The sequence below is a fragment of the Homo sapiens genome, chromosome 12, assembly GCF_000001405.40.
Source record: "Homo sapiens chromosome 12, GRCh38.p14 Primary Assembly".
Lineage (NCBI taxonomy): Eukaryota > Metazoa > Chordata > Mammalia > Primates > Hominidae > Homo > Homo sapiens.
This window is the reverse complement of record NC_000012.12, coordinates 125,040,404-125,059,590: the sequence shown is the minus strand read 5'-3', so window position 1 is coordinate 125,059,590 and position 19,187 is coordinate 125,040,404. Positions and strand designations below refer to the sequence as shown.

Sequence of the window (19,187 nt, the reverse complement as noted above, 5' to 3'; positions counted from 1 at the left end):
TCAGGACCTCCTGAGTCTGTGTCGTGGGCACACGTACTTAACCTTCGCAAAATTAACTTTCTAAATGAATTGAGACCTAACATTCTCTGGGTTCACACATTACAGAGAAATACATATTGTATATAATATTTGTATAATAAAAGGTATTATGCTGGGCGCAGTGACTCACACTTGTAATCCTAGCCCTTTGGAAGGCCAAGGCAGGCAGATCACTTGAGGTCAGGAGTTCAAAACCAGCCTGGCCAACATGGTGAAACCTCATCTCTATTAAAAATACAAAAAAAATTAGCTGGATGTGGTGGCACATGCCCGTAATCCCAGCTACTTGGGAGGCTAAGGCAGGAGAATTGCTTGAACCCAGGAGGCAGAGGTTGTAGTGAGCCAAGATCGTGCCACTGCACTCCAGCCTGGGCAACAGAGCGAGACTCTGTCTCAAAAAAAAAAAAAAAAAAAAAGGTATTAAGTGCTGTGGAGAGAAAGCAAGGGAGAGTACAGAATGTGGGGGGAGGGGTGTTTCTCTTTAAATAGGGTGGCAGGGAAGGCCCCCTTGAAAAGGCAACTTCTACCAGTGACCCGAAGAAGGCAACAGAAGTGAGCAATTCAGTCTCCAGGCAGGGGGAACAGCCAGGGCTCAGACCTTGAGGCAGGCGAGTGCCGGGGGTGCTTAGGGAACTTTGTAAGGAGGACAAGATTTTTCATGTGAGAGACCTGGGGTAGAAGATAAAATCCGCAGAGGAAGGGGTGGTGGCTCAGGTAGGTCCTGGAGCCCAGTGGAGACTTTGGCCTTTATCCTGGGTTAAGGCGAGACCACTGGAAGGTTTTGAGCGGAGAGGGACCCGCTGTGACTGTGGCTGTGATAGGAATCTCCCTGATGCTGAGTTGAGAATAGTCTTCAGGGGCAAAGGCAGGAGAAATTATGCAAAAGATGATGGTGGCTGGACCAGGGTGGAGTTGGAGAGAAGAAATGGACTTCAGGTATATTTTGGAGGTTTATTTATCATACCCCTACTGTGGGCTCCGTGTTAAAGACCATCCCAAGTTGTTTGTCTTCATTTATTATCTTAGCCACCCAATCAACTTCCCCCAAAATAGTTTTTTGCAGTGTTGGAGCTTAATTTGTTTTTATTTTTATTTTTTAGAGACAGACGAGGTTTCGCTGTATTGCCCAGGCTGGAGTGCAGTGGCGCAATCATAGCTCACTGCAACCTCGAACTCCTGGGCTGAAGTGATCTTACTGCCTCAGCCTTTCGAGTGGCTGGGATTACAGGATCGCGCCACCATGCCTGACCAGTATTGGAATTTTATGAAGTAAACTCCCACTTCCACCACCTAATTTTAAACAGCTTCCATCTCCCAATCACCACATATAAACGGAGATTCAAACCTAAAACAGGGTGCTTGCTATATAAACATGACTTCTAGGTTGCCCCCTCCCTGGCCTCCAAATTCTGGGGCCACCTCTGGCTCTTTGTCTCCCTGTTACTGCATTTGCCAGGCATGAGTCCATTTCCACCCAGAGGGAGATTCATCTTTGAGAGATCTACGTATTTGTGTTCATTCCTTTAACACCAGAATGCAAATTCCACAGGGGCAGGATCCTTGTCTCACTAGTGCACCACGCAGTCCCCAATGCCTGACCCACAGTAGGAGTTCAAGAAACATTCATTCCCTCAGCACGTGCCTAGAGGTTGCCCGTTGTGAGTTGGGCAATGGGGACCCAGCTGTGTAAAGCACAGACCCAGCCCTCATGCATGTGGAAATCCACTTTGACCAGTGGGTTGACCAGTTTTCATGGGGCAGGGAAAAGCCTGGATTTATATATCTGACGGCCACTTGGTTCACTCCTAATTCCTCCAGCTTGGCCCACCCAACCAGACACAGCACCTGTGAGGTAGCCCAAGGCAGAGGTGAGCCACAGCCAGAATGACTGGAGACTTAGCCCTCACCCCCTGTGACATACTTCCAGACACTCACGGGCCTTCGGAGGTGTCTTTTCAAGACTCATCTTGCTTCCTCTCCCACGTCCCTTTTTTTTTTTTTTTGAGACAAGAGTCTGGCTTTGTCTCCCAGGCTGGAGTACAGTGGCGCAATCTCGGCTCACTGCAAGCTCCGCATACTGGAATATGTTGAAAGGGGTTTCATATAAAACACATGAGTATTTGGAAACAGCAAAGATATTTCCCAAAAAGTACCAAACGGATGGTCTGGAAGAGGAATGGCACCCATAGTTGAGACAGAAACCAGAAGTACCCGAGGATAGTCCATATGCTCTGGGAAATTGTAATCTCACTTTTCTCCTCTCTTCGCAAAGCTTGATATCTCTTTGCACACATAAAAACAAAAGCCAAAGTGCTAAGAAGAAGCTGGAAAAATACAAAATTTCTGTCTTAGGGAGAGAGTCGGTAAAGAAAATCAACATGGCGGACACTGATGGCTGCCTGCTCAGTGAGAAACCCCTGTCTTCCTTGCCAAAGAATCCCCACTTTGGAGTCTCTCCTGACAGGACTGTGCGCAACCTCAGGGTCTGTATCCTGACTTCAGTTGAATTCTAGACATTTTCATCACAGGCTTAAATGGTCATAAAAAACGAGCACTTTATATCAAAGTAAGAGGTGGATTGGCTGTAATTGGAATAAATATGCCGTGTTGTGATTGAATAAAATAAAATTTTGATGTACTGTATTGAGGAATGCACACCACATCAGAAAGAAGCCACTTTTTTTTTTTTTTTTGAGACGGGCAGATCACTTGAGGTCAGGAGTTCGAGACCGGCCTGACCAATATGATGAAACCCCGTCTCTACTAAAAATACAAAAATTAGCCAGGCATGGTGGCTCGTCTCTGTAGTCCCAGCTATTTGGGAGGCAGAGACAGGAGAATCGCTTGAACCCCGGAGGCGAAGGTTGCAGTGAGACAAGATCATGTCGTTGCACTCCAGCCTGGGCAACAAGAGCGCAACTCCGTCTCAAAAAAAAAAAAAAAAAAAGGGCCTGTGCGAAGCTTCCTACTATGGCTTCCAGCGGGATCTGGATGAGCGCTGCCTGCTTGGCTAATGAAACTCCCGAAATACTGGACAATGTGGGAGATTAGCCTCAGGGCGTCTACCGCTTTGCCACTGATAGGAGTGACTTCTGGAGGAACTTGATCCTCGATTTGGGACTCTTTGCTGCGGGAGTTTGGCTGGCCAGGTACTTCAGTGACATTGACCTCATGGCACCTCAGCCAGGAGTGTAGCCAGGTAGACAAATGGAATCCTGTGCTGAGCCCGAATCTTCCAAGAACAGCCTGCAATCTGTGGCCACCACAAGATGTGCCCTGATAGCAGCTGAAGTTTGATTCAAATGGCCACTTTCCTTTTCCCTTTCCCTGCCTAGTTTCCTTTTGTTCCTCGAGTCCACGGAGAATTCCATTCTCTGGTCAGCAGAGAGGCTTAAGCTACAGTATTGCGTCTGTTCTGTAAAGTTCTGTACATAGTTCCTAAGCTTCTGCAGGGGCTGATCCTCGCTGTTGTCCTGAGAAATAACAATGCTATTTTAACAAACATTTGAGATAAATATTGCACACAAAGACAGTCATTTTATTATTTTAATAAGAAACTTTTGCTTACAAAAACAAGGTGTGAAAAGTCAAGATTCACAAAACTTGTAAAAACATGATTTATATTTCGCATTTGAGAGACAAAGACAAGCCCCAAACATGGGGGAAAAAAAGGTCAGCCTGGCCAACACAGTGAAACACCGTCTCTACTAAAAATATGAAAATTAGCTGGGCATGGCGTCAGGCGCCTGTAATCCCAGCTATTCAGGAGGCTGAGGCAGGAGAATCGCTTGAACCCGGGAGGCGGAGGGTGCGGCGAGCCAAGATTGCACCACTGCACTCCAGTCTGCTCAACAAGAGCAAAATTCAGTCTCACCAAAAAAAAAAAAGGAAAAAAAAGTGATCAAGGAAGGATATCCCTAATGAAGTAACATGAGCTGACACCTAAATGAAGTGACACATCCAGCCCAGTGCTGATCTTCGGGAAAAGCCTTGCAGAGGGCATAGCACATGCAAAGTCCCTGAGGCCTGCTTGGCACTGTCTTAACGCAGTGGCTATATGAGGCCTTGGGAGGCCGTGGGGTAAGTACTTTGGGTTTTATTCAAACTGTGATGAGAAGCCACCTGGCAGCTTTTGAGTGGGGAAGTGACATGATATACATTCTGAAAGGATTATTCGTCTGTTGTGTGGTCATAGAGTGTGGTTGGGTTTGAGGGGTGGATGGAACAGTATAAAAAATAAATTTAGCTGGGCGCGGTGGCTCACTCCTGTAATCCCAGCACTTTGGGAGGCCGAGGTGGGTGGATCACGAGGTCAGGAGTTCAAGACCAGCCTGGCCAAGATGGTGAAACCCCGTCTCTACTAAAAATACAAAAAATTAGCCGGGCGCGGTGGCAGGCACCTATAATCCCAGCTACTCGGTAGGCTGAGGCAGGAGAATCGCTTGAACTCGGAGGGCAGAGGTTGCAGTGAGCCAAGATCACGCCACAGCACTCCAGCCTCAGTGACAGAGTGAGACTCCATCTCAAAAATAATAATAATAAAATAAAAAAATAAAATAAATTTATGGGCCAGGCACTGTGGCTCATGTCTGTAATCCCAGCATGTTGGGAGGCCGAGGCGGGCGGATCACGAGGTCAGGAGCTCGAGACCAGCCTGGCCAACATGGCAAAACCCCGTCTCTACTAAAAATACAAAAATTAGCCAGGCGTGGTGGCGGGTGCCTGTAATCCCAGCTACTTGGGAAGCTGAGGCAAGAGAATCACTTGAACCTGGGAGGCGGAGGTTGCAGTGAGCTGAGATCGTGCCATTGCACTCCAGCCTGAGCAATAAGAGCAAGACTCCATCTCAAAAAAAAAAAAAAAATTATGGCCGGGTGCAGTGGCACATGCCTGTAATCCAGTGAGCCGAGATCATGCCACTGCACTCCACATTGGGCAACAAGAGTGAAACTATCTCAAAAAATAAATAAATAAATGTATATACTTACATAGTGGTATATAGAGCTATAGATATAGCACTGGTTTCTCATAGGACAAATAAAGAGGCTGAATTTAGGGAGGGATTTCCACGATACTGGTCATCCCCTATTAAGCTGGGTGGTGACTACTTGGTGTGCATTTATTATTTCATAAATTGTACATACATGTTATATTCAGATAGCTCTACATCCCATAGTGTAAATATATACATTTATTTTTATATAAATATAAATCTGTGAATACTTCTATATACATAGAACTATTTTGGAAGGGAGAACCATCAGGATATGCTGCTGGATTCGATGAGTACTTGGAGCCGGACTAGATGAGAACAAGTTCGAGCCTCTGATTTTACCCAAGTCATAACCAAAGCAACAGTGCAGAGACGGAAGGAAAGGCTGGAGGAGCAGAGGGACAGGAAGCTGCAGCATCTGCACAGACAGCAGCTGCCGACACAGTGGCTCCCCGAGGTCAGGCCAGAAGAAAGGGAAAGGGGTGATTCCAACTGCAGACTCAGGCAGGTCCCCTGAGTCCATCAGGCCAAAGTGTTGCTTGAGGATTTCTTTTTCTGGCCTCCATGGTGTGGTTGCATCAACACTCCCCGCATGCCCAGGGGGCTGTGGATATTGAGTCGGTGCCAGTTACTAAGTACGAGATGTGCCGGAGTTGATGTCTCAAGGTTGAGCTTCCCCACCTCCTCTCCAGCCCCCAGGGGAAAGCAGAGGAGAAAATATGACCACGCAACTTCAAATCCTCATCAGGAATAAAGATAAGAAAACGATGGGACCGGCTGGGCGCAGTGGCTCATGCCTGTAATCCCAGTGCTTTGGGAGGCAGAGGCGGGCAGATCACTTGAGCCCAGGAGTTCAAGACCAGCCTGGGCAACATGGCACAACCTCATCTCTACTGATGCCGAGCCGAAGCTGGACTGTATTGCTGCCATCTCGGTCCGGGAGGGAGGTGGGGGGTCAGCCCCCGCCCGGCCAGCTGCCCTGTCCGGGAGGCAGGTTGGGGGCGCCTCCGCCCGGCCGCCGCCCCGTCCGGGAGGCGGGGGGCGCCTCTGCCCGGCCGCCCCTTCTGGGAAGTGAGGAGCCCCTCTGCCCGGCCACCACCCCGTCTGGGAGGTGTACCCAACAGCTCATTGAGAACGGGCCATGATGACGATGGCGGTTTTGTGGAATAGAAAAGGGGGAAAGGTGGGGAAAAGATAGAGAAATCAGATTGTTGCTGTGTCTGTGTAGAAAGAAGTAGACATGGGAGACTTCATTTTGTTCTGTACTAAGAAAAATTCTTCTGCCTTGGAAAAAATAAAAATATAAAAAAAAATAAAACAATTAATAAAAGCAGGGCCCCAAGACTCTGGGTGAGTCTTACTTCACTAAGCCTAGGGTGAAAAACTAGAAACAAACTAAAGTCCTTCAACATGGGAACGGCAAAGTATAGTATAATCCATACTGTACAATGCTATGCACATCCACTAAAAACAATCACATTCACCTACAAACATCACAGTTCTCAAAGAGATTTTTTTTTAATAGAGATGGGGGCTGGGTGCAGTGGTTCACCCCTGTAATACCAGCACTTTGGGAGGCTGACGCAGGAGGATTGCTTGAGCCCAGGAGTTCAAGACCAGCCTGGGCAACATAGTGGGACCTTGTCTCAATAAAAAATAAAAAATTAGCCAGGCGTAGTAACATGTGCCTGTGGTCCTAGCTACTCAGGAGGCTGAGGAGGGAGGATCACTTGAGCCCAGGAGGTGGAGGCTGTAGCGAGTTATGATTATGCCACTGCACTCCAGCCTGGGTGACACAGCAAGACCCTGTCTCAAAAAATAAATAAATACATAAATAGAGACAGGGTCTCCCTATGTTATCCAGAATGGTCTCAAACTCCTGGGCTCAAGTGATCCTCCTGTCTCAACCTCCCAAAGTGCTGGGATTACAGGTATGAGCCACCACGCCCAGCCTCAAAGAGACTGTTGAAGAAGATAGAATAAATTGTAGAATGACACGTACAGTTGTAGAAAAATACATACAAGAAAACATTTGCGTTTAAAATTTTCTCTGTTGACATATATAAAAATAAATATATATATACATATATATACATATATGTATATATATATATATTTTTTTTTTAAGAGACGCAGTCTCACTCTGTCGCCCAGGCTGGAGTGCAGTGGCACGATCTCGGCTCACTGCAACTTCTGCCTCCTGGGTTCATGCCATTCTCCTGCCTCAGCCTCCCGGGTAGCTGGAACTACAGGTGCCTGCCACCACGCCCGGCTAGTTTTTGTATTTTTAGTGGAGACATGGTTTCACTGTGTTAGCCAGGATGGTCTCAATCTCCTGACCTCGTGATTCGCCCGCCTCGGCCTCCCAAAGTGCTGGGATTACAGGCGTGAGACACCACCACCAGCCTGACATATATATATTTTTTTCTATACATTAATGTATATGTGTAGAAAAAGAACTGGAAGGGGCCGGGCACGGTGGCTCACATCTGTAATCCCAGCACTTTGGGACGCCAAGGTGGGAGGTCAGGAATTCAAGACCAGCCTGGTCAACATGGCAAAACTCCGTCTCTACTAAAAATACAAAAATTAGCCAGGCGTGGTGGTGCACACATGTATTCCCAGCTACTCGGGAGGCTGAGGCAGAAGAACCACTTGTACCTAGGAGGCGGAGTTTGCAGAGAGCTGAGATCAAATCACTGCATTCCAGCCTGGGTGACAGTGAGACTCCATCTCAAAAAAAAAAAGTGTATTTTCTTATATGTCCGAAAAAATTCAGATGACTGTATTCTTATTCATTGAATCTAAATCAAGAAGATTAAGCCATAAAATGCCATTTTTGGTAAGTTGGTAAATCTGGAAAATTCTGCTAAATCACTGAATTGATTATTTGGCAAAATGACTTTCAATGAATTGATCTTTGATGAATCAGCCCACTTCTGCTGGGATCACCTGACCCCAACTCAGCCAGTCAACAACTATAGAATGTTCCTCCCCTCTCCACCCCCAGGCACTGTAAACATGATCTTGTTTTGCTTCTTTCAAGTGCAAGGCCAAATCATCCTTATTTGAAATTGATTATTACTTTCAATGAAATTAATACAATGAAATACAATGAAATTTCATGAAAGCAGGGACCTTTCGCCTTGTATTCACATGCGGCAGGCACGCAATAGATATTTGTTACATGAATGCATCTTATGCTACAGCTCACAGACATCTGCCACTGAGGACTCATAGCAAATACTTGGAAGACACAGCTACATTTCTGCTACTCTCTGTAGGACACCCTGTAATTCAACATCACCAACAACCAGGAGACATACCCTAAAACGGGGTTTAGAAAATACTGAAACTTATTAGCCTAATGCTAATAGTGAAACAAAGGATCTCCATCAACAGAGGCCTCATTTAATCCTAAAGAGACTCAGACCAGCCAGACAAGCCATCTGAAGCTTGCTATGCTCTGCTGTCTTGATTCTAACAGGGCAAGAAAAGATGACCAGATGAGGTGACACTCCATCCTCTGGCTTCTTTTTCCTCTTATGTAAGTGTGAAGTTCTCTCTTCAGTAGCCAGGCTTCTGGAGAAAAGGATCCTGAAAAATACAAAGTCCCTAGTGTATTAGCTGGCACATACGGTGAAGGGAGGGGATAGATGTTGTAATAAGATGCAAAGAAATCTTACTTGCGCGCACACACAAATGTCCCTTACCTTTTTTATACTATCTCTTATGCAGATGGTTAAAGACCTCGAGAAGGCTGCTCCTAGATTAGGAGCCTTACCCCACCCCATGTCATAGCACGTGGTTAAAATTCAGAGCACCCACATTCTCCACTCCATCACCCCATTGCACTTTCATCATCTGAAATGAAGCCCTTTATGTGCCTCCAAGAGCAAGCGCCATGACCGCCGGGCTCTGGTCCCCGTGGTTCCCTTGGGGGTTCCCCGACGCCTAGCACGAGGCAGGGCACAGAGCAGCAGCTCCTGAAACATTTCCAAAAAGACTGAAGGTATTAAGGCTGCAGAATTTGCAGGTCTCTTCTGTCTATACTGTAAGTCGATATTGTGCATTTCTTTTGGACATTTTGGGCACTTTAAGCCTTTCTTTTATTTTTATTAGCCTTTATTTGTTTTCATGATTCTTTTGGTGGCGTTCCTTTTTAATTTTTAAATTTATTGATTATTAATTTATTCTTTTTTTTTTTTTGAGACGGAGTCTCGCTCTGTTGCCCAACCTGGAGGGCAGTGGCGTGATCTCGGCTCACTGCAACCTCTGCCTCCCGGGTTTAAGCGATTTTCCTGCCTCAGCCTCTGGAGTAGCTGGGACTACAGGCGCCCGCCACCATGCCCAGCTAATTTTTGTATTTTAGTAGAGACGGGGTTTCGCCATGTTGGCCAGGATGGTCTCGATCTCGTGACCTCGTGATCCGCCCGGCTCAGCCTCCCAAAGTGCTGGGATTACAGGCGTGAGCCACCGCGCCCAGCCTATTAATTTATTCTTTAGTGTGTCACGCAAGAGTCTGAATTTGCAGGAGGGGTCCTTAGCAGTAGTGGAAGACTCCTGGCAAAGCTGCTCGGCTCCGCTCGGTTCTCCTCCATCTGCCAGCACACGCGTCCTCTCCGCCTCGCCCAAGTCAACCCCACGGGCCTCCTGCGCGTCCCCACCCCATCCCCTCCCAGTCCCCTCCCTTCCCGCGACCCCAACGCCCGGGCGGCGGAGGGATCCCGGACACACTCACGCGCCACACTCAGCCCGAGCGCTGATTGGCTGGCAGAGAGTTGGGCCACATCGGCCCAGGCCTCCGCGTCTGGAAGATCGGCCTGAGCGCCAACCAATCGCGACGCGTTCCGGTTCATAGGCCGCACCTCCCAGCCAATCCTGAAGAAGAACCAGAAAAGGGCGTGCCCAATCGGAGCTTAGCAATGGGGCGGAGTCACCCTTCGACCAAGGCCAGTGCCGGGCGCTGTCACCTTGATATCCTGACTGGCACCGGCGAGTCGGTCCTGCCCCACCCGCTCTGCTCCCCAACCCGAAACCACCGAGACTCCAGGGGGTCACGACCTCTAGCTTGACTTCTGCGCTGCCAAAGGAGGGTTGTGCCTGAAGTACCTGGGGGATGTTTATTCTTCCGTATGCGTATTCAAATACGCAGATGAGCCCCTAGGATGAGTGCGCTGGGGAATAGGAGGGAACCAAGCTAAGCCCAGTGGGAGAAAGTGGAACACGTTCGCAAGCTGAGTAAGTGATTAGTGCCCTGAGATAATAAAAGGACCACAGAATAGTGGCTGGTGCTGCTTTTGATAGATAGGATGGTCTGAGTTAAATCTGGGCTCTCTTGGCCCGGCGCGGTGGCCCACCTGAGGTCAGGAGTTCGAGACCAGCCTGGCGAACACGGTGAAATCCCGTCTTTACTGAAAATACAAAAAATTAGCCAGGCGTGGTGGCGGGCACCTGTAATCCCAGCCACTCGGGAGGCTGAGGCAGGAGGAGAATCGCTTGAACCCGGGAGGTGGATGTTGCAGTGAGCCGAGATCGCGCCATTGCACTCCAGCCTAGGCAACAAAAGCCGAAACTCCATCTCGAAAAATAAATAAGTAAATAAAAATAAATTTGGGCTCTCTTGCATATACCTTGTGGCCGGTGGCAGGGGCATTTCCCCACCATCACCTCTACTTGGCTATGGGGTGAGCAGAGGCAGGGAACCCCAGGCTGAATCCCCACAAACGCAGGCTCCTAGAACGGAGATATTTTTGTAGGGCAAGGACTAAATGCCATGTCTTCCTCCCTCTCCCTATTCCAATGGGTCCAAACCGAATTTCTTTTTTTTTTAATTATTATTTTTTACTATTATTATTATTATACTTTAAGTTTTAGGGTACATGTGCACAATGTGCAGGTTAGTTACATATGTGTACATGTGCCATGCTGGTGTGCTGCACCCATTAACTCATCATTTAGCATTAGGTATATCTCCTAATGCTATCCCTCCCCCCTGCCCCCACCCCACAACAGTCCCCAGAGTGTGATGTTCCCCTTCCTGTGTCCATGTGTTCTCATTGTTCAATTCCCATCTGAGTGAGAACATGCGGTGTTTGCAAACCGAATTTCTTATTACCCCTCCTAAACATAAAATGGATATGAGTAACTATCAGCTTGCCTCTTTAGGGCAGGGCCTGGATATGTCCGTTGTGATTTGCCTTTTACTTAGGTTGGGCCACCTTGGGGTGAGATCTGATGAGCTGAGGAACCTTAGGAACACACATGGTGACTAGTCAGATCTCATGACACCCATGAGCCAGGCAGGCATTTCGAGGCGGCATTGCATCTTGGAGAGTATACATCCCTTTACTACAGTGTGCCCCAACTCCCCTGGGATAAAACCACAGAAAAATGACCACTTTTCCTTGTAGGAATTTAGTCTTTCAATCTGTCCAGAGCATTTCTTCTCTAACCACCCAACCCAACTCAACTATCCACCCAAACTCAGAAGTTTAAAGAGAGGGCCAGACCACTTAAAATCTTTTTTTTTTTTTTTTTTTTAACTATAAGAAAAAAAGTAGGCCGGGCACAGTAGCTCACGCTTGTAATCCCAGCACTTTGGGAGGCCGAGGTGTGCAGTTCACCTGAGGTCAGGGGTTCAAGACCAGCCTGGCCAACATGGTGAAACCCCATCTCTACTAAAAATACAAAAATTAGCCAGATGTGGTGGCATGCGCCTGTAATCCCAGCTACTCGGGAGGCTGAGGCAGGAGAATCACTTGAACCTGGAAAGCGGAGGTTGCAGTGAGCCCAGATTGCGCCACTGCACCGCAGCCTGGGCAGCAAAGCGAGACTCAGTCTCAAAAAAATAAATAAATAAAAATCAAAGCTGTATAAAACGGGCTGGGCATGGTGGCTTATGCCTGTAATCCCAGCACTTAAAGAGGCCGAGGCAGGCGGATCACCTGTGGTCAGGAGTTCCAGACCAGCCTGGCCAACATGGCAAAACCCCGTCTCTACTAAAAATACTGACTGCACCACTGCACCACTGCACTCCAGCCTGGGTGACAGCAAGACCCTGTCTTGAAAAAAAAGAAAAAAAAAGGCCGGGTGCGGTGGCTCACGCCTGTAATCCCAGCACTTTGGGAGGCGGAGGCGGGTGGATCACAAAGTCAGGAGATCGAGACCATCCTGGCTAATATGGTGAAACCCCATATTACTAAAAATACAGTTAGTATTTTTGTACTAAAAATACAAAAAATTAGCCGGGCGTGGTGGCGGGCTCCTGTAGTCCCAGCTACTTGGGAGGCTGAGGCAGGAGAATGGCGTGAACCTGGGAGGCGGAGCTTGCAGTGAGCCGAGATCGCGCCACTGCAGTCAGTCCAGGCTGGGTGACAGCAAGACTCCGTCTCAAAAAAAAAAAGAGTAAAGAAATGCTGAAATTGCGTTACGCTATAAATCCCTGTTTTAAATGTTTACATTTAGTAATGTTTTTAATTCTAATTAAATATGTACAATGTTAGAACATATACACAATGCAGTCTTTTTTGCTATTCAGAGAAAAATTTCAGGATTTATTAAAGATTTTAATCATTGCAGGCTTACAACAGAGGCTGTGTTTAAAGTTTAAAGTTGCATGGTGAATACTGTGTGCTTTCAAAACTATCAGTGATTTCCAGGAAAGTCTTGATCCAAAAACAAACAAACAAACAAAAATGAATCTGTGACTGTGGGAATAATCATTTTTAGAGATAAGTTCTAAAGTTTATGTGAGACCTTTGTGAATGTGAGATCCATAGCCGAATTAAAATAAATGTAAAAACACGCACGTATGACTGATAATGCTAAAGTCGACTGATGGAGGAAAAGGATACTATAAGCATATAACTCTAGAAATGAAAAGATAATTTAGCCTGAGCTCACAGCTTCCAGCTCTGGTAGGGCTGCATACAGATCCATTTCCTTTTCTATTATTTTCTCCAGTTCTGTTCTTTTAAACATTTTTTTTTTCCAAGACGGAGTCTCACTCTGTTGCCCAGGCTGGAGTGCAGTGGTGTGATCTCAGCTCACTGCAACCTCTGCCTCCCAAGGCAGAGGTTCTTGGGAGGCAGCTTCTTGCCTCAGCTTCCTGAGTAGATGGGACTACAGGCGTGAGCCACCAGACCCGGCTAATTTTTGTATTTTGAATAGAGACAGGGTTTCACCATATTGGCAAGTCTGGTCTCAAACTCCTGACCTCAAGTGATCCACCCACCTAGGCCTCCCAAAGTGCTGGGATTACAGGTGTGAGCCACCGCGCCCGGCCTCTTTTAAACATTTTCTAAACATACAGATATGTATAGCATACTTATGTGTCAGTTATATATAGATTCTCAGCTGTCTAAAATCAGTTTTTTTGTGGTTTTTTTTTTTGAGACAAAGTCTCATTCTTGTCCCTCAGGCTAGAGTCAATGGCGCGATCTCAGCTCACTGCAACCTCCACCTCCTGGGTTCAAGTGATTCTCCTGCCTCAGCCTCCCAAGTAGCTGGGATTACAGGCACCTGCCACCACGCCTGGCTAATTTTTGTATTTTTAGTAGAGACGGGGTTTCACCATGTTGGCCAGGCTGGTCTTGAACTCCTGACCTCAGGTGATCTGCCCACCTCAGCCTCCCAAATTTCTGGGATTACAGGAGTGAGTCACCGTGTTCAGCCAAATCAGCTCTTTTTAATGATGGTATTATTTTTCAACCAACCCTTAAACAGACCTGCAACCATTGAACTAAAACCCTTTGAGAAAAATTTTGATACAGAAAAATAAATGTAAGAAAGGAGATAATTTATTGTCCTAATGTAGGGCCAATCGTAGGCACTCAATATTTAGTTATTGACAGATGCATTTTTACACATAAGTCTGACAGGTCACAAGGGTGGGGAGGCACTGAGGGAGAAAACATCATCTTAGAGGCCAGGCGGGGCGGTTCACGCCTGTAATCCCAGCACTTTGGGAGACCTAGGCGGGCAGATCGCGAGGTCAGGAGTTCGAGATCAGCCTGACAAACATGATGAAACCCCGTCTCTACTAAAAATACAAAAATTAGCCGGGCGTGATGATGCCGCCTGTAATCCCAGCTACTCAGGAGGCTGAGGCAGAATAGCTTGAACCAGGGAGGCGGAGGTTGCAGTGAGCCGGGATCGCGCTACAGCACTCCAGCCTGGGCGACAGAGTGAGACTCCGTCCAAAAAAAAAGAAGAAAACATCATCTTAGCATTGACTGGGGACTTTCTGACTTTTATCTAGACTTAAACGGGTTTGATCACTTCATTCTTTCTAAAGGTTCCATTTCTTACGCAAAGTGGTTGACCCTTAGATGCCAGTTTTACACTCTTATGTGCTAAGTTCTTTGCAGTGGTTTTTTTTAGCTAGTTCTGTTAATTTTCAATTTCATAGGCTGCACTTTGCATTTTCCCAAACCTTATGTTTTATGATTTAATCAATATCCAATCCATAGCCACCCTCTGATATTAAAGTCAGGTATAGATATAAGAATGAGAAAAAAATTTTAATTCACCAGTGATTGGAAGTAACTGGCATTATGTCTTTAGTAATTATAAGGATGAATGGCTAGGATGACTGTTTTGAATATTAAATACAATAAGTTGAAACTTTATTATAAAATATCTTGTCTGGCCAGGTGCAGTGTGGCTCACACCTGTAATCCCCAGAGCTTTGGGAGGCTGAGGTAGGAGGATCACTTGAGCCCAGGAGTTCAAGATCAGCCTGAGTGACATAGCAAGACTCTGTCTCTGCAATAAATTTTAAAGTATATTTTAAAATTATCTGCCTGGGACAGGTGCGGTGGCTCATACCTGTAATCCCACCACTTTGGGAGCCCAAGGCAGACAGATCACTTGAGGCCAGGAGTTCAAGACCAGCCTGGCCAACATGGTGAAACCCCATCTCTGCTAAAAATACAAAAAATTAACTGGGTGTGGTGGCGCATGCTTGTATCCCAGCTACTTGGGAGGCTGAAGGGGAAGAATAGCTTGAACCCAGGAGGCAGAGTTTACAGTGAGCCAAGATCAGAGCACTACACTCCAGTCTGGGCAGCAGAACAAGACCCTGTCTCAAAAAAAAAAAAAAAAATTGGCCGGGCATGGTGACTCACACCTGTAATCTCAGCACTTTGGGAGGCTGAGGCAGGCCGATCATGAAGTCAGGAGTTTGAGACCAGCCTGACCAACATGGTGAAACCCCGTCTCTACTAAAATATAAAACTTAGCTAGCATGGTGGCGCATGCCTGTAATCCCAGCTACTCAGGAGGCTGAGGCAGGAGAATCGCTTGAACCCGGGAGCTGGCGGTTGCAGTGAGCCAAGATCGCGCCACTGCACTCTAGCCTGGGCGACAGAGAGAGACTCCATCTCAAAAAACACACAAAAAAACAACCAAAACAAAAACAAAAAAGACCCTATCTCAAAAGAGCTCTAATCCCAACATCGTCAATTTGTGTTGAAGACTTGTAAACTTGCCTGTTGTGAGAAAATAATCTTTCTTTCCTTTTTTTTTTTTTTTTTAAATGTCTTGCTGTGTCACCTAGGCTGGAGTGCAATGGTGTGATCACAGCTCACTGCAGCCTCTGCCTTCTGGGATCAAGGGATCCTCACACCTCAGCCTCCCAAGTAGCTGGGACCACAGGTGTGCACCATCACGCCTGGCTAATTTTTATCTTTTTATTTTTTGAGACGGAGTCTCGCTCTTTCACCCAGGCTGCAGTGCAGTGTTGCGATCTTGGCTCATTGCAACCTCCACCTCCTGGGTTCCAGCAATTCTCCTGCCTCAGCCTCTGGGTAGCTGGGATTACAGACACGCACAACCACGACTGGCTAATTTTTGTATTTTTAGTAGAGAAGGGGTTTCACCATGTTGGCCAGGCTGGTCTCGAACTCCTGACCTCAGGTGATTGGCCCACCTCGGCCTCCCAAAGTGCTGGGATTACAGGGTGCGCCACCACACCCGGCCATGCTTGGCTAATTAAAAAAAAAAAAAATTGGCAGAGATGAGGTCTCATTATCTTGCCCAGGCTGGTCTCGAATTCCTGGGCCTTGGCCTTCCAAAGTGCTGGGATTATAGGCATAAGCCACGACGCCTGGCCAGAAAATAATCTTTAAAAAGTGTTTAAAGCCCCTCAGTCATAGCAGGAACTGTGCAGCGGTTCTGTGGGAGTGGAAAACAAAGCCTGGCTTGTTAGCACACCTCAAGATTCTGGGGTAGACGTTGAGCAGCAGACGTTCAGCCAGCATCACTACATGAGCCTGCACGCTTAGCCTCAGGAGAACACACACGATCTTCCTGACATGAACATCATGAAGAGCCCCAAATCCCTGGGCCTGAAAGAACTTAGGCCCACCTAAAACAATTGCAGGATTAAATAATACCACACATTGTTATTTCACCATGGCTAATAATGCTTCCCCTCACTGCCTCATAGCTGAAACACACAGAGCAAGTGAAGTGTTTTTTTTTTTAACCCATCAAGCTCATCTACCAGACCAATGATATAAATGCACATCTTCATTCAGTCACCATACAATCGATTTCAAATTTTCTGCATTAATAGAAGATGGATAAAATGAATCCATCTTTAACAGGCAGGGCACAGTGGCTCACATCTGCAATTCCAGAACTTTGGGAGACCAAGGCAGGAGCATCACTTGAGGCCAGGAGTTCAAGGCTGCAGTGAGCTATTAATGTGCTATTGGGCTGTGCATGGTGGCTCACACCTGTAATCCTAGCACTTTGGGAGGCCAAGAGGGGCAGATCACTTGAGGTCAGGAGTTTGAAACCAGCCTGGCCAACACGGTGAAACCCTATCTCTAATAAAAATACAAAAAAATTAGCTGGGCGTGGTGGTGGGTGCCTGTAATCCCAGCTACTCGGGAGGCTGAGGCAGGAGAATCGCTTGAACCCAGGAGGCAGAGGTTGCAGTGAGCCAAGATTGTGCCACTGCACTCCAGTCTGTGCAACAGAGTGAGTGAGACTCCGTTTCAAAAAAAAAAGTGCTATTGCACTTAAGCCTGGGCAACACAGCAAAATCCCATTTCAAAAAAAAAAAAAAGATGAAATTCACAACCTAGTTCCTAAAGAATTAGAGGCAAAAATGAACATTTAATGTTTTATAATTTGCACTAAGTCCAACAACTTGCATAACAGTCACAGAAACACCATGGGAACTAAAGGGTAAATAAGGTAATTTGGGAAGAGCAGCTGTTGATCACAACAAATTTACCAAGTGGGAAGAGGGTAAAGATTGAAAAACTACCTATCGGGTACTGTGCTTATCACACAGGTGATGAAATAATCTCTACACAAAACCCCCAAGACACACAATTTACCTACATTACAAACCTGCACACGTATCCCTGAACCTAAAATAAAAGTTTTAAAAAACCAAATTTACCAACAGCTTTAATGTCCCTCAATAAGGGAATGGTTAACTAAATTCTGGCATATCTGTAAAATGGGATATTATGTAGCCATTCAGATAAACTAGGGTCTAGAGAAGTGTAGATGCTATTTGTGTTTTTAAAGTGATACGCAAAAGGGCCGGATGTGGTGGCTCACGCCTGCAATCCCAGCACTTTGCGAGGTCAAGGCAGGAGGATCGCTTTAGCCCAGGAGTTCAAGACCAGCCTAGGCGACATAGTGAGACCCCATCTCTACAAAAAAGTTAAAACATTAGCCAGGTGTGACAGTGCACACCTGTAGTCCCACTTAGGAGACTAAGGGGGAAGGATTGTTGGAGCCCAAGAAGTCGAAGCCACAGTGAGCCATGATCATGCCACTGCACACTAGTCAAACATAGCAGGACTCTGTTTCAAAACAAAAAGATACGTACTTATTTGCTCATGTAGTCATTGAATATCCCTAACAGGAGCCACAAGATACTGGTAACAGGAGTTGCCTTAGGGCAGCAGAACATAGCGTCTGGGGACCAGGCAGGAGCTCAGTGTTCATTCAACACCCTAATGTAGCTTTGAATTGTGTACTATGTGGTGAATTGCCTTTGCCAGCAGGGTTTCAGGACATGTGTCCTGAAACTTACTGAGGACCCCAAGAGCTTTTGTTTCTGTGGGTTATATCTATCCATTAAAATTAGTAACACAACTAGAAATAATTACCAAATTATAAATAAAACTAAGAAACCAAAAAATATGTAAGTGTTAATTCATTTTAAAATAATGCTGGGCGTGGTGGCTCACACCTGTAATCCCAGCACTTTGGGAGGCCGAGGCAGGTGGATCACGAGATCAGGAGATGGAGACCACCCTGGCTAACATGGTGAAACCCTGTCTCTACTAAAAATACACACACACACACACAAATTAGCCAGGCGTGGTGGCAGGTGACTGTAGTCCCAGCTACTTGGCAGGCTGAGGCAGGAGAATGGCATGAACCCGAGAGGCAGGGCTTGCAGTGAGCCGAGATCACGCCACTGCACTCCAGCCTGGGCGACAGAGCGAGACTCCGTCTCAAAAAAAAATAAAAATAAAAAATAACAAGGATAGGCCAGGCACGGTGGCTCATGCCTGTAATCCCAGCACTTTGGGAGGCTGAGGCAGGTGGATCACCTGAGGTCAGGAGTTCAAAATCAGCCTGGCCAACATGAAGAAACCCCACCTCTACTAAAAATACAAAAATTAGCTGGGTGTGGTGGCATGTGCCTGTAATCCCGGCTACTTGGGAGGCTGAGGCAGGAGACTCACTCGAATCTGGGAGGCAGAAGTTGCAGTGAGCCAAGATCACACCACTGCACTCCAGCCTGGACAACACAGCAAGACTCTGTCTCAAAAAAAAAAATGAATAAATAAATAAATAAAATGAAATAACAAAGATAAACCCATTCCATGTGACCATAAACAATGTATTTGTTATGAAAAATAACTATACTTTGAGGTGGGGCGCAGTGGCTCACGCCTGTAATACTAGCACTTTGGGAGGCCAAGGTGGGGGGATCACCTGAAGTCGGGGGTGCAAGACCAGTCTGACCAACATGGAGAAACCGGTCTCTACTAAAAATACGAAATTAGCTGGGTGTGGTGGCGCATGCCTGTAATCCCAGCTGCTCAGGAGGCTGAGGCAGGAGAATCGCTTGAACCCAGGAGTTGGAGGTTGCAGTGAGCCGAGATCATGC

General features: G+C 46.7%; 1 protein-coding gene and 1 pseudogene across 1 annotated transcript in view, besides 1 other annotated feature; one reads left to right on the top strand and one right to left on the bottom strand.

The window, feature by feature from the left end:
• Window positions 3,010–3,231, top strand: TOMM6P1 (TOMM6 pseudogene 1; annotated as a pseudogene).
• The window catches only part of BRI3BP (BRI3 binding protein), a 57,523-nt gene continuing 46,759 nt past the window's right edge, over window positions 8,424–19,187 (bottom strand). The window contains exon 3 of the mRNA XM_011537940.3: window positions 8,424–8,629. Within this exon, the coding sequence (XP_011536242.1) occupies window positions 8,460–8,629 (170 nt within the window). The 3' untranslated portion in view covers window positions 8,424–8,459. The remainder of the gene's footprint in view (window positions 8,630–19,187) is intronic.
• Window positions 9,851–9,950: a silencer, noted in NCBI's record as "silent region_5079". NCBI's record gives its function as "represses an Ori minimal core promoter by ATAC-STARR-seq in GM12878 lymphoblastoid cells {active_cell/tissue: GM12878}" and the evidence as "EXISTENCE:reporter gene assay evidence [ECO:0000049][PMID:35858748]".